The 15,316-nt window shown below is 32.5% G+C and overlaps 1 protein-coding gene across 14 annotated transcripts in view; it reads left to right on the top strand.

Annotated features, from left to right (window-relative positions):
- Positions 1-15,316, top strand: part of USP25 (ubiquitin specific peptidase 25) — a 150,083-nt gene that overhangs the window by 59,783 nt on the left and 74,984 nt on the right. For all 14 annotated transcript variants that reach the window (NM_001352560.2, NM_001388301.1, NM_001388302.1 and 11 more), the window contains 2 exons: positions 1,738-1,900; positions 9,993-10,079. Coding sequence is in view for 7 of the 14 variants with exons in the window: in NM_001283041.3 (NP_001269970.1) it covers positions 1,738-1,900; positions 9,993-10,079 (250 nt within the window). In the remaining 7 variants the exon portion in view is untranslated. The remainder of the gene's footprint in view (positions 1-1,737; positions 1,901-9,992; positions 10,080-15,316) is intronic.

Genomic DNA, 15,316 nt, shown 5'->3' on the forward strand with positions numbered 1-15,316 from the left:
CTCAACGTCTAAATATACATATATATTACAAAAGGAACAAAATTTTCAAATGAGAATACTGCCATTTATAAAAGTCAATAAAAAGTTAAATATCCCCTCTATATAGGGCAGTCTTTTGTATTACAGTTACTTTTTATATACTGTGCATTAACCTTTCTTTTTTGAGCATAAACCAGTCTTGAACAAATTCAGTTTGTTCAGGTTATTATTATTCTGCTGAACTGCAAAATTTAACTGTTAGAAGGTCTTTAGGACCTCCTGGGTCTCCAATAGGAGAGTCAAGTTGACTGTCTTTCTATCTCTCCCTTGTATTCTTGAAAACTTGCTTTCTGGTAACAGTAGAATGTTCTAGATATTCTTTGGTTTTCCTCTGCCCCAGTTCATCTAACTAAATGTCTTTCAAGGAGTTCTATGTCTTTTCGTGAAACAAGCCTAGAGTCTGGGGTTGCCTGTGGGAGTTGGTTTTTGGGCAGAGAGTAGTGCTGGCCAGTCGGGTCACTCTTAAGTGTGACAGAAGTAGAAACTGTTTACTTTTCACTATATGAGTTTACATTTTAACATATCATGTTGTTACCAGTTTTTCAAAAATGTGTGTTTTATTGATTCCCAAAGACTGACTTCTGTATTCACATGGATATTTTAGATTTCCTTGTATCTAATGTCTTGTGGTAAATATTGCTGTTAAGGATAAAATAATAATATTTTGACATTAATCTGATAGGATAAAATCTTTAGGATAAAAATGGTGTGAAATGAATGAGATTTTCTTGATAAACCAAAAAGTTGAAAAAAACTAATCTTTACTCAGGTTCTGGTAATTAACACAAAGTGGTTAAGATACCTGAATGTTATTTATGCTGATTTAGAATAATAAGTAACAAGTTTCTTTTTTTTTTTTTTTTTGGCTGAAGCCAAGTAGCAAGTAACACATTTCTTGAGCAGGCAAAATGCTTGGTTAGATCCTATGTGGGAACCAGGGTTTTCCAGTTATGATTATACTTATGTTGTTGCATGCTCAGGAGCAAGAAACATCATTAAAGTAGCATTACTTTTGCCATGTTTAGATATACTTAAGATATTCATAGGTGAGTTTATTTTGGAAAGGTTAACTATCTTTTGTTATTCTAATATGTATTCTAATATTTATTTCATTAAATTTTCCCAAAGGCAAACTTTTGGGCAAGGCAGTGAACATACAGGTTTTCTTTTCCTTTACTTGGCTCTCATAGAGGCATAGATCTCAAGAATTGAAAGGAATCATAAAGTTTAACTCACTGAACTTTTTTTTTGTAGAAGAAGAACTAAGTGGTCGGTGATAAAAGTGCAACTTGTTCAGTTTTTAATGTTTTCTTGATTCAGAGTAATTGTTATAAAAAGTGGTCATCATGTTATATTGTAAATATGTACTTTAATTGTTATTTCTCAGAAAATTCATCTAGATGGTATATTCCTGGTACTAATATCTAATTTGTTGAAATGTGATTTATTGTACTTTCTATTATATAAAACTGCCATTTTATGTTTGAAATTTCATTTTTCTTAGGAAAAAAGACTATACTTCTCTATGTATTAGCATTGACACTGCTAAAACGTGTATTTGAGTAAAGTTAGTATTAAATATTATTTCTTCAAATACATTATTGAAATCTTATGTAATGAAAATGCTTTTAGAATGTGTGATATGCCTGGGATATATACCATTATATAATGCTGCATTTTTTTCCACCATTGATTAAGAGTTCTTGAAGCCAGCATAGCAGAGAATAAAGCATGTTTGAAGAGGACACCTACAGAAGTTTGGAGGGATTCTCGAAACCCTTATGATAGAAAAAGACAGGACAAAGCTCCCGTTGGGCTAAAGAATGTTGGCAATACTTGTTGGTTTAGTGCTGTTATTCAGGTAAGGATTTTTCTTTATTCAGTTCTTATTTGATGTGTGTGATAGCAATGGAAAGTGAGTTGGTTGTGTTTAAGTTGTGTACTTTAAAGATAAGTACAGATAAGTTTTTAATATACTATTTTGTCTAATAAACTAGCTTGGGGATTGAAGTATCCTCCCATCCCTCTTTGTTTTTCATTTCTAGTATGTATTTTTTAACAGTAGATCACTACTTATGCCTTTCACTTATTTGGAATCAATTTATCCTTTCCTTCTGCTTTTAGGAATTGTTGGGGTGGAAAGAGTTTTGTATATATTTCCCTGCAAATTTATGGAAGCATTGTAACCAAGTTTGAAACTAGAACTGGCTTTCTGTGGGTCAGATCAGATTTATTTGTATATACTAGACAGTGTTATTTATAGAATTATAGACACTTAGTATTTTTAATAAGCATTTTGTTTGAGGTTGGTATAGATTTGCAAATCTGAGTTTGCATGTGAAATGATGTGATGAATAAATATTGATAAATCAAGAATAACACATTGTCTTTTTTTACTAAGAAATCCCTTAATGATACATTTCTTGATCTGCTTATTCTAAAATAAGAGACATATGTATGTGTAGATATCCCTCTTTTCAATTTGGAACAGTTTTCTTTTACGTGTTTAACAACTGTTATCAAAATTCTTTATCATTCTCGGTTGACATTGATAATGTTATCCATCAGATTGCAAAACTTTAAAACAATTTATGAATAATATGTCCTTAATTTTTATTACTCCTTAGGAAAGTTAACTAATGTTTTGTGTTCGTTTTTGTGTGACAGTTGAATTATAGCTTATTATTTCATGTTCGTGATGAATGCTTTTTCCTTCATTGGACATGCATGCTATTTTTTGTATTCAAAATATATCTTCATTTTGTAACTTTCCAAACCTGTGTGTATGACAGCTTAAACTTTCATATGATATTAAGGCAACTAACAGGTTATTTGGTTCATTTTCTACAAGTTAATTGTTTTTGCTAACTTGTAATTTTAACTTTTTTTTATATACTTCAGTGCTAAAATTTTCACCGTTTTCTCCCTTTTTGCTTCTGGTGCATAATATCATATAATTTGATTTTCTTTGTTTTTCTGGATTTACCTCACTTTTTAATATGCTGTGGTGCATCCTAATAAGTAATATGCTATGTTATTGGCTTTCCCAGGACATGAAGATGCTAAGGAATACCTGGATTAACATAAATCTATAGTAGTATCTTTGCTTCTAGCCTTGATTATACGTTGTTTACTTACATGCCAAAAAGCAATATCTAAAATATTGATACCTTAGAGATTCTTAGATCATCTTAATAGGCTATCTCACTTTACTTGCGCTATCTATTAAGAAGGTTTGTGCATATGATAATTTAGACATAATTTTAAAATATTAAGTATAGTTTTAAGGCTCTGAACTGAGTGCTCATGAACATGTTTTGCTGCCTGTGTTTGGTCAAGTAGATGCTATCTCAGCACTATTATGGCAAATACATGAGGGTCATTGATTAGAAGCTTTTCTTAGAAAGGTATAAGAAGAAAGAAAGTATTTGTAAATAATATTGTTAGAATAGTTGCTTTTTATTTCTCTATCCTGTATGTGTAGGGAAGTTCTGTTTGAAATGATAAATGCTGATATAGGGATAATGACCTTTTGTTTTAGTAGGATAAAACTTCTTTCAGCAGCTCAGTTTAATCTTGATACAGTTACAATCTGTTTCTACCCTAAGTTTGCTAATCTTAGCTTTTCTAGCTTTTCTTTTTAGCTTAGATTTTTTTTTTTAAGAAGGAGGGAATGGGCTAGAAAAAAATTATCTTTTAAAAAAATGCCTAGCTTATTTAAAAACTAGTAATTGTACTAGTTTTAAAATTTTATCTAAGTTTAGTGGCTGCTTAACTCCTAACATAGGCAAGTATAAGAGGGCTTGAGTTATTTATTTTTTCTTTTGGTGAAATCTAAACATCTAGGAGAAGTAACCTATAAGCTTAAAAATTCAGGTTATAATGGCCTAATAAGATAATGGCTTTTGAGGGAGTAGAAAACACTAAGCATCAGATTGTGGAAAATGATGAGTGGGCAGAAAAATTTGGCTAGAGATCACCTGAAGTTTTATTTTTTATGGTAATTTTAAAATCTATCAAACTATTTTAAGTAGCTTTTAACTTTTATCTTTGGTAGAGTCTTCTTAAAAATTTTCTACCATTATTGCTTAACTCTAAGCTATAAACTGAGATATAATACTTGGCCATCATAAATTGACTTTTTACTTGTGAATGAAAAGTTGGGCCAAAAATCTACCATAGTGTTGGAGGTTTTGTTGTTTTCCACAGTGAGTTGGAACTTACTCAAATTGTGATGTAAATGTACTGTAAAGTTTTGATTACAAAATTTTCTCGGGGATGGAATTTACTTAGTAGGACTAATTTGAAACATCTGGGAATTCTTTTTCTTGTAAATATATTGACCAGTTATAGAAGTTTGCTAGTAATATCACCCTTTAACTTCAAAGTATATAGCTGGGGTAGGCTACAACAGTTATAGATAGCTTTGCATACTTATTATTTTAGATACTGAGACCAATATTTTGGTAGAAAGGGGGAACAGAATGTAAGAAAGGGAATATAAACAAAGAGAAGATTGTACAGATAATGGCTTAAATAATCTTTTGGCTGCTGGCAACATTAGCCTGTCTTTAGGTTAGACATCAACCCCACAGCTAGTCAGGATTATTTTTGTCCTATTCACTTGGTACTTTTATGTAGAAAGTACTGATTGCAGCTGTTCCCCACTAGGGTGTCACTGAATGAGTTAGCTATTTGGAGGTGTATGTTCTTCTCTGTAGCTCTGGGACATGTCGTTGAAGTGGTATGGGTGCTCATGATGATCCTTAGCCCCTTAGCACCTTTCCATTTGGATGCCGAGAAGTAAGGTGCTCATACTTCTCAGTTTGCTTGTCATAGTCCCTTTTACTCCTATTGTAGATCTGTTGGCACCTGTCACTTAGTCCTAAAGCCCTGCTGTGTATGATGGTAAAGTATGTGGTTACCTTACTCATAAATCATATAACTGCAGGTTGACTAAAATACAGGCACCCTGAGGGCAGAGAGCACATTTAGGGTACTCTATATTATATATATAATACAGGGTCTGGCACATTGGAATAGCCCATCAAGTAATTATTGCATGAATGGATGAATGAACCAAAAGGGAGCATGTATGGAGTATCTAAAGTAGTACGTGAGGATATTTTAAAAAATGATGCATATTGTCAGAACATTTCAGGATATAATTTAAAATGCTTATTCATACTCCTTGCTCTTCTCTCTTTAATTTTCATCAAAGAAAAAATCATGTGGCACTAAAATGCTTAAACCTGTCTGCTTCCTAGTCCTGCCCCTTGAAAGAGACCTGTATCTAATCCATTTCTTCTCTATCTTCATTTTTCTAAATGACATGCCTTCCCACTGAGATAGATGAGGAATTTGCTCTTTCAGTTCACCTGCCTAGAATTGCCTTTTGTTTCATCTCTCAACATGGTTATAATACAAATTAAAAATAGTAGGTAGTCAGTATTTTCATTTTTTATAACTTTGTAAATGTTACAGTGATTCACTAGGTCCTCCCATCTATAGTACTTTGTTATCCTGGAGTTGTCAATTGCTACCTTTTTCCCCTATTTTCTATATACTTTAATATTTTCTAAATGCTTCAACATGTTTGTTATGGTCTTAATAATATATTCTGTATGCCCACACATATTTGCTTCATTTTTTTGTTTGTTTGTTTTTGGAGTTCTGTCCCATAGACCATTTCTCTGTTTCAAATTTGGGGTGAATTCTGATTCTTTGTGGTTTAAGCATGATCACTCGCTTTCTAAAAGTAAGTCTAGAGAAATGGGATTGGTCGATGTGGGTATCAGTTTACATGTTTTTACTTAATCTTGCTGTTTGTAGCTCTCAATCATCTCTCCTTTGTACTGTGACATACAATTTGACTGATTTTTCTGAACCTGAGTCATTTAAGATCTCCAAAGACTAAATTTCCTATACACCCACAGAGGGGAGGCAATTGTCTGAATGTGCTGGGTCTGGAAAGCACATGGGGGTTTAATTGTTCTGTACATAGACTTGTGGTTTCAATAATGCCATCTATTTTTCAATCCCTGCCTCACCATGAAACTTATGTGATACCATGCTAATTTTTTTTTAATCCTCCGAGGAGAATTTATCACGCTTCTCAGTCTTCTCCACTGTAGGCAGTTTATGTTTCATTTCCTCTGCACTCTTGCCATCACTTCTTTCTTTTTCACAAATTATTTGAACTCTTATCCCCCATTATGTCTTTGTTATTAGCAAGAATCTAACCAAACTTCATTTTCGTAAGTGCTTTTCAAAATTCACATATTAGCTTTGGACTGAATGAAAGGATGGTTATTTTCAGGTGCATTAATCAAAAACACTCTTCAGGCAGTAAAAGTTACCCTTTCTTACCTCTTTTGAAGGAATACATTGGACAGTCCTCATATGACTTTGGTGAAGGATATAGGGTCTTTGGGACTTGAAAAACTTAATTTTTATGATTTGTTGTGATAATCAATGGTGATGAGTTTCACTGAGTAATGGTAGATGAGGTTGTTTTAGACCATCTGCCTTGTGATGTTTTGCTGGATTCCAAAACAGAAATAAAACCAACCTTTTGAGGGCATCACAGAGTACTAAAGCAGTGAGGAATTTTGAGTAAAGAAGGATAGTCATAGAGTGAGCTTGTTATTTTTGATGGATTTTGTCCTTTAGGCATCTCCAGAACTGACTGCTGCGTAGTTGAGGAACTAAGAAAATTTTTGCACAAAGTTTGAGCCCTAGTAAAACATCTTAGACTGTGAGTTGGAATTCTAAATGGTTAGAATGTAGCATTAACTGAGAACTGAAAGTTAAGACAGGCTTCCTAGTTTCTGAATTATATAGTTTTAAGTTATCTCAGAATTTATTGGATTAAGGCGACCTGAGACTGTGACTCTAGTCTCCCTGCCTGCCAGAGCAAATGTAAATTCTCTCTTAGAAGATAGTATTATCTGGAACCTTTCCTCAATTTTTCATACACAATGTCTAGTACTCAGGTCAGTCATACCAGAAAATAAGATGTGTGTGAAAACTAACACAAAAAAATGGACAATAGAAAACAGCACAGGGAAACTGGAATACTTGTCTGCCATAATAATAATTAATATGTTCAAGGAATTAAAAGCAAGATTGCGAGTCTGAAGAAAACTAAAAACTGTAAAGAACAAAATGTAAATTTCAGAATGGAAAAATATAAATGAAACTAAGAAGTCAGTGGATAAATTTAGCAGCATTATTAGACACAACTGAAGAGATAATTAGCCAACTGGTAAATTAATCTGGAGAATATTTTTCAGACTAAAGCTATGACATAAAGATGGGAGCATCAAAGAGATACTTTGGATATGGTGAGTAGTACTAACAGTGTATTTGTAGTTCCAGAGGGAGAGTAAAAGGAAATAGGGCAAAAGCATGTTTGAAGAGATTACTCACAATATTCCAAACTTGAGAAAGATCAAGCCATAGATTCAGGAAGCAATAGGAATCAAATAGTATAAACATAAAGAATACTGCACCAAAGTACATCATAATAAAACAAATAACTATAGACAAAGAGAAATCCTAAAAGTTGCAAGGTGGAAAAAGATACACGTATAAAGGAGCAAAAACAAGACTAATAGCTGACTTTGATACCTTTAAACATCAAGTCACACATAAGCAGAAATAATGTCTTTAAAGTGCTAGAAATAAATAACTGGCCATCTTGAATTTTATACCTAGCAGAAGTCTTTAAAAATGAAGAAAAACTAGCTGAAATAATTCTTCACCAGCACACCCACACCAAAGGAAGTTCTAAGTATCCAGGAACAAGGAAAATTCTCTATCTACAATGGGAGCTCAGAGAATAGAAGTGGGATTGAAATTCTTCTAACCTGCCAAGATTCTCTTTCCTCTTTAAATTCCTCAAAAGAATAGTCCATGGTTTGTCTCCCCTACTTAACAGTAGTCCCCCTTATCTTTGGTTTCACTTTCTGCTGTTTCAGTTACCTGCTGTTAATTGTGGCTGAAAATATTACAGTACTGAGAGAGAGAAGGAGAGGGAGAGAGGGAGAACACATTCATATAACTTTTATTACAGTATGTTTTCTTTACAATTGACCTATTTTATTATTCGTTATTGTTGCTAATCTCATACTGTGCCCAATTTATAAATTTAGCCATTATAGGCATGCAAGGAAAAAAAACATAATATATATGGAGTTCAGTAATATCTGTGGTTTCCGGTATTCAGAGGAGATTTTGGAATGTATCCTTTTTGGATAAGAGGGTGCTACTCTGTACCCCATTTTCCCATTATTTAATGCCTCTGTTCTTCCTCTACCACTCCACTGCAAACATGACTTTGCAGTTGCCAAATCCAAAGGTTATTTCTCTGTCCTTAATTTATTGGAAGAATGTGGCAACCTTTCATGATATTGCTAATCTTGTCCTCCTTGAAATGTGCCAGCTATTTTTTGATGTACAGCAGAATCTTTTGTGGAACTTTGTATCTTTATTGAGAGTCCCCTGACACAGCTATTTTTTAAAGCTCCGCAGTTTATTAGAATACACAAGTATGTTTGAAAGCCCTTGTTTTCTCCACTCGTTTTTCTTCTGTGATTTCCCTTAGTATTCCTTTCTCTTTTTCAAAACTCTTTTTCTTTTTTCCTGTGATTTTTAAATGGTGCTTTCTCCCCAAGGTTCTGATCTTGGCCAACTGTTAATGTATTCATATCCCTTCTGGTTTATTACTTCTACTCTTACTGTTTTAAAAAGCAGTCACAAGACTGTAATCCCTACAAGGGCAGAGACTACCTTCTTAGTGTCTGGCATATAGTAGATGCTCCATAAATATTTGTTAAATGAATGAATAGATGATTTATTTTATGTGCTTATATTGTTGAATAAATCTTTCTAGATCACAAGATAAAATTTTTTTTTACAGTTTCTGTTACCAGCTTTATGGTTTTACCTTTCATATTTAGGTTGTTAATTGATCTATGTAATCTGGCTCTATTTCTTTATATGTAGTTTTCTCAATACCCAACTGTTGATCAAAACCTTGTTTCCTCATTGATTTGTGGTGCCACCTTTACCTTCTGTCAAGTTGGCTGACTCACCTTTTCTAAGATTTGAAACATTATCACTTCCTGTATAGTAATTTTCAAACTTTATAAACTGTGACCCAAGAAAGGAATATACTGTATATTATAAAACATTTTACACATACACAAGTGTGTAAAATATCTACAATGAAAATTTTGCAAGAAAATACTCTGATGTATTTACTGAGTATGATACATTGTGATATTTTCCATTGTATTTTATCTCATTTTAAAGAAATGTTCAGTATGATGATAGTAAATGGTTGCAAACTACAGTTTAAAAAACATACTCCAGGAAGCCTTTCCATGGGCATCCTGCATATGCTCCATTAGATTCTTGTGTAATTATTATCACTGCATCTTGAAGTCACGACATTTCTATTACATGTCTGTCTCCTTTCTAAATTGTGTACTTCCTTGAGCATTGAGATAATATGTAATTTCTTTGTGTCTCTATTACCTAGGATCTGATGAGTAAATTTATTTGTACTCCATTTTTCTAGTATTAATGATACATCTAGATAATTCATGGTAAACATAGCAGGTCTAAAAAGTTTTGGACTTGACATTTGCATACTCTTTATTTTGAGGAAACTGCTTAAGTGCATATAAAAAGAGCTATTAATAATGAGTAGTATATTTAAAAAGTTGTCCAAATATAATCTTGTGCACTATCAAGTATCAAGAATGGTATGTCAAATAAAAGAAACTTGACTTTTTCTCAGAAGTATGTCCTCCTTGTGCCAGTTGCAATGATTCTGAGTATAAGTAGTACACAGTTGTAAAAAATAAACCTCCAAGACTAGTCATTTTTACATTCTGCTAATGGAATTTTCCCTCAGGTTATGTTAAATTGTTGTTCTTTTTCAGTCATTATTTAATCTTTTGGAATTTAGAAGATTAGTTCTGAATTACAAGCCTCCATCAAATGCTCAAGATTTACCCCGAAACCAAAAGGTAAAATTCAAAAGATTTTTTTAAGCAGTATATATACTCTATATGTTCTCTTATATGTGATTGATTTTTGGGCATTTACTTGGCTCATCAAATCTGAAACTGTCAATTTGAATGTCAATTCATTAATCTTAGTTACCATAGCAAGTTCTTATCCTTTGTTAATATATTATAAATACGACTTTTTTCCTTTACCTGTCACAGTAATATGCCAATTTTTGGTGTCGCTTTAGTAATTTTTTTGGGGGGGACTGTCAAATTTCAGTAAACTTTATAGGCTATAGTTTACAATTTAAGGTCTTTCCTCAGTTGTCTCCTAAAAAATTTTGTGGAAATCGAAATTTCTTTTCAATTGATCGTCTTGTGCAGCCCTTTAAAAAATGCGTTTTGCATTCATGTCTTTGCAGTACAAATCTGTATCTTTCATTTTGGAAGTGACTGTCATAGATGGGTAATATAAAGTGACAACACACACACCAGGGCCAGATTGCGTGGGTTCTAGCTAGGGACCTAGAGCTGGTTACTTGATTTCTCTCTGTTCCATTTACTATCTGTAAATCATATATAATAATAGTAATTATTTCATAGAGTTGCTGTGAGCATTAAATGAGGTAAAACATGTAAGGGGCTTAAAAGTGCTTGGTACATAGTAAGTACTAGGTGTCAGCTATTGTCAGTTAAACAATAAAAAAAATTAAAAAAAAAAAAAGACTTATTTTAAAAAGAACCAGTTTGCACACAGAATTTATACCTAATGGAAAAAATTACTTATGGAGATGATATAGTTGCGTGTAGGGCTTTAGTGGTTGATCTTGTCATAAACAATCTGTAGTCCTAAAGTGGACTTATTGCCAAGGCAAGGGAGTTAGTTTTAGGTTTCAGTAAACTGCTGAACTTTTTTGACCTATTTTTAGTAGGAGTGATGAAATATTAAATTATGTTTTCGTTTTAGCGTTTAATTTTTAAAACCACTTTTTCTTTTTCTGTAAACACGTGAAACATTTATAATGCATGCTAGTGGGAAGATAACTTGATTTATAACCAGCTTTTCAGGTTATAATCTCTGGGCTGTAGAGTGTCAGGCTGATAAACAACCCATTTTCAAAAGGGAGTCAGGATCGTCTGACAAACTCTTATGTCTCCAGAAAAATTAAGGAAAACCCTTTCAATCATTATGGTTTTTACATGGAACTTTCTGAACTATTGCCTCTGTCATTGCAATTTGTTAATATCACAGTTCTTCTCTCTTCTCATATCTCAAAGTATATGTATAATTTGTGTGAAATGGTTGAGAATTATCATTTCTAGTTAGGTATGCATGTATGTATATGCATCTTGACCATTTATGGTCCTGGATTTTAATGTTTTACAGAGCTTTAATTTCTTTTGTTCTTCACAGAGTTGAATGAGGCCATGTTAGTTTGTATTCTTATTTAAAAAACAGTTGCTATATTTATGCTTATATATCAGAACGAGTTGTGAATACTAGAGAAATGTGTAATTCCAGTCTTCAGCACCTTTCTAGAGAAGTTTGTTTCTTGCAATGGGTTAGCCTCTCCAGGTGTCCCTTTAGCTTAAGGAAATAAAAGAATTTCTCACTTCCATTCTGAGACAATTACTTAGAATACTGTGCAATTTTATATGATTATTCCACAAATGTGACTCTAATTTAGTATAGTGACAGCAGTACACACTATACCTTGACATCTTTGAAGCAAATGGATTTATAGATAGTTATCAGCCACTGAATGGTCCTATATTCACTTGAGATGGTGACAGCAGGTTTTTAAAAAAGGCGTGAGTGTAACTTGTCACTTATTTAATAATGAATTTACCGCCAACTCGTGACATGTCTACAGCTACATTCAATTTGAACACTTTGTCTTAAGTTGCAGAATACATTTGGGATTACTTTGATCACATCACAGAGATGCCATTTGTATGCACTTTTAAACAGGATATTTTTTGCTAGCAAAATTTGCCACAAATATTACATACATATTGAGTGAGATTTGAAAGAAATCTAGTATTTGAAATTAGTATGTATTTTAAGTAGACTTGGCAATTGCTTGTAGAAATTGAAACTAATTTTAGACACTCAGGTTTCTTTGAACTGTTGGTAATTTCAGTGTCTAGGAGAATTGTGAGGTCCCTGGAAATATAATAATAGATCCTTGATGTAATCATCCCCTCTCCCCTCACACAGATATACATTTGGTTTAAAATGTTTCAGACTGATGGCAAAGCATATTAAATGTTGAGAAAACAAAGATGCACATGTATAATATTTAGTGGAAATCATCATGTAAATAGCTAAAGCCTTATTAATTGGAAGGTTATATTATTTAAAGTCTTGATTTAGGACAAATATTTCAAAATAAAGAAATTTATCACTTTCCACTACTTAAAGTGAATGTCATCAGAAGGAAATGGGTTTAGTTGAGTACCATACTGTATTCCTGGAGCAAATACCTGAAGGAATTTTGAATTTTACAAATAAAAGGGGCATTCTGAGATTTCTGCCATTAGTCATGAAGAAGTAACAGGAGCTGGATTTATAAGTCTCAGTGCATCTTAGAGGATTCAAAGCATACAAAATACCTTTTCTGATGAAAATGGTAGAAATCAAGGTAGAAATCAACAACAGAAAGATATACAGAAAATCCCCAGATAGTTGGAAATGAAGTAATTCACCTCTAAATATCCCAAGGGACAAAAAAACAAATCAAATGAGTAATGTCAGAATATTGTAAGCTGAATGAAAATTAAAACATGACATATCAAAATTTGAGGATGAAGCTAAAACAGTGATTAGTGGAAGATATCTTATAAGAGACATCTTACCAGACATCTTATTAGAAAAGAAGAATGGTTTTCAATTAATGATAGCAGCTTGCATATCAAGACATTAGAGAATAAAGGGCACGTTAATCTCAAAGCAGAAGTAAGGAAATAATAAAGGTAATAGCAGAAATCTGTGAACCAAATATCAGAAAAACAATACAGAAAATTATGGAACCAAAAACTGCTTCTTGAGAAGATTGGTGAAATTGATGAACTTCTAGGTAGACTAAGCAAGAAAGAAGAGGGAAGACATATATTACAAATATAAGGAGTGAAAAAGGGAAACATCACTACATACTCTGTAGACACTAAAGGGAGAATAGTGGAATATTATAAACAGCAGACAAGTATCTTGAAAGTCACAAGCTATCAAAGCTCACTAGTGAAGAAATAGATAACCTGTGGTAGCCCTACATTATATTAAAGGAACTGGAACCTGTCCACCAAAAAATTCAGCAGCTAAATAGTTTTACTTGTAAATTATATTAAGCATTTAAAGAACAAATGATAACAATTCCCTATAAATTTGTACAGATACTTAAAAAGTAAAACTTCCCAACTCATTTTGTGAGCTAAGCATTACCCTGAAATGAAAAGTAGGAAAATACATTTCAAGAAAAGCAAACCACACACCAATATTTCTCATGAATTTGGAAGCAAAGAATTGTAGCAAATTTTTGAAAAATTAAATCCTGCAATTATATATAAAGGATAATACCTCATAGAGAAGTGGGGCTTATCCAGGAATACAAAATTGGTTTAGCTTTCAAAAATAAATCAGTATACTTCACCATATCAACAGACTAAAGAAGGAAAACCATATTATCATCTCTGTGGATGAAGAAAAATGATTTGACCAAAGCTAAAATCTCATTTATGGTAAAAATCTTCTAGAAACTAGGAAGCAATTTACTTTTCAAATATGCTTCTCAGCAGAATTCCACTAATTTCCAAAAATTATTACTTCCAATTTTGTTACTGGGAATGTCTCAAAAAACTGCATTGACTTAGGTGCGGTGATAAAGAAACTGATCTCAGGAAATTAAGGGTACTTTTGAAAGTAATTTTGTGGATTAAAGCTCATAGTCTTTATACTTTTAAAACCTATGTCTGAGGGCATATTTGGAACCAGTTTTATTCCCTCTTACCTATTTCTCAGGACTCTTTTTTGGAATCTATTCTAGAAGCAATTCTTTCTATGTGGGTTATACTATTTTGGGCAGCAACTATGTAAAGATACACCCCCATCCCAGACCCCTAGAATTTTACAGTGTTGAGAATGCCAACTGTGTAAATTTGGAAGAAAATTTTCATGTTTAATATCTAAATTTTTTCCGTTAAAATTGTTATTATAAGAACTAAATATTATAAGAATGGCTTGCCTGGTTTGTTGTCATGAAACATTTCACTAAGTTATGTGAATTATGTTATTTTTTAAAATTTCCTTCTTGTTTTAAAATACATTGTTAGTGATTGGTAATGTGGGTTGTTTTAATTTCTTTCTGGAGATTTTGCTTTAATGAGCCAGTAAGAATTGAATGCTTTGTGTAGTAAAAAGTTGGGGAAAAGATATAGAAATTCTTGTCTTTGAGAATCTTATAGTCTTATTGAGAAACAAAAGTAAGATTTCAGAGGAATATTAGGAGGGTGATATATTAGTCTCCTATTAGGATCTGGTCTAATTATTAAATTAATAAAATTAAATAAATTTAAATATTGTGATTGAATTATATTAAATATAATGTTCGATAACTTTAGATATAAAATAAATGAGTATAAAATAATTTTATAAGTAATTTTTATTAAATATAAAAACAAATATTAAATTTCTAATAATCGGGTGAGGTTCTAATATTAGTCTAATAATTAAGATTGTCACACCACAGTGACAGTCGGTGATTCATTGCTCAGTGAAAGGCATTTATTTCAGTAGATGTGGAATTTGAAGGTATCGTTGACTTGAAGGAGTCTGGAAAGGCTTCATGGAGGAGTGGAGATTTTTGCTAAATGGGTTTATTGAGATCAAGCACTTAGAACAGTGCCTGGCATGTAGTGAACACTCATTGAATGTTGGCTGTTATTATTGCTCTGAGCAGCAGCAGCTGGGCCTTGCTGAATGGGAAGTATTATGAGAAGCAGTCTTGAATGAGGAAGATATTCTTGGCTGAGTAATGACATGATTTGCTGTGAATATGTGGCATTCATGCTGAAATTGTGAGCCTATCCTAGGTCTTCTGCCTTTTTGTGCTGGACTTCTTTGAGTCTCTTAGATGGCACCAACACTCTACTTTCTTCAATTATGATAGAGTGCTAATTCATCCCTAAACTATATTGGCTAGTTTAATTTTTGGTTACTGTTAAAATGAATATTTATTAGTAAAAATTTTCTTAATCTT

This window comes from Homo sapiens, chromosome 21, assembly GCF_000001405.40.
Source record: "Homo sapiens chromosome 21, GRCh38.p14 Primary Assembly".
Classification (NCBI taxonomy): domain Eukaryota; kingdom Metazoa; phylum Chordata; class Mammalia; order Primates; family Hominidae; genus Homo; species Homo sapiens.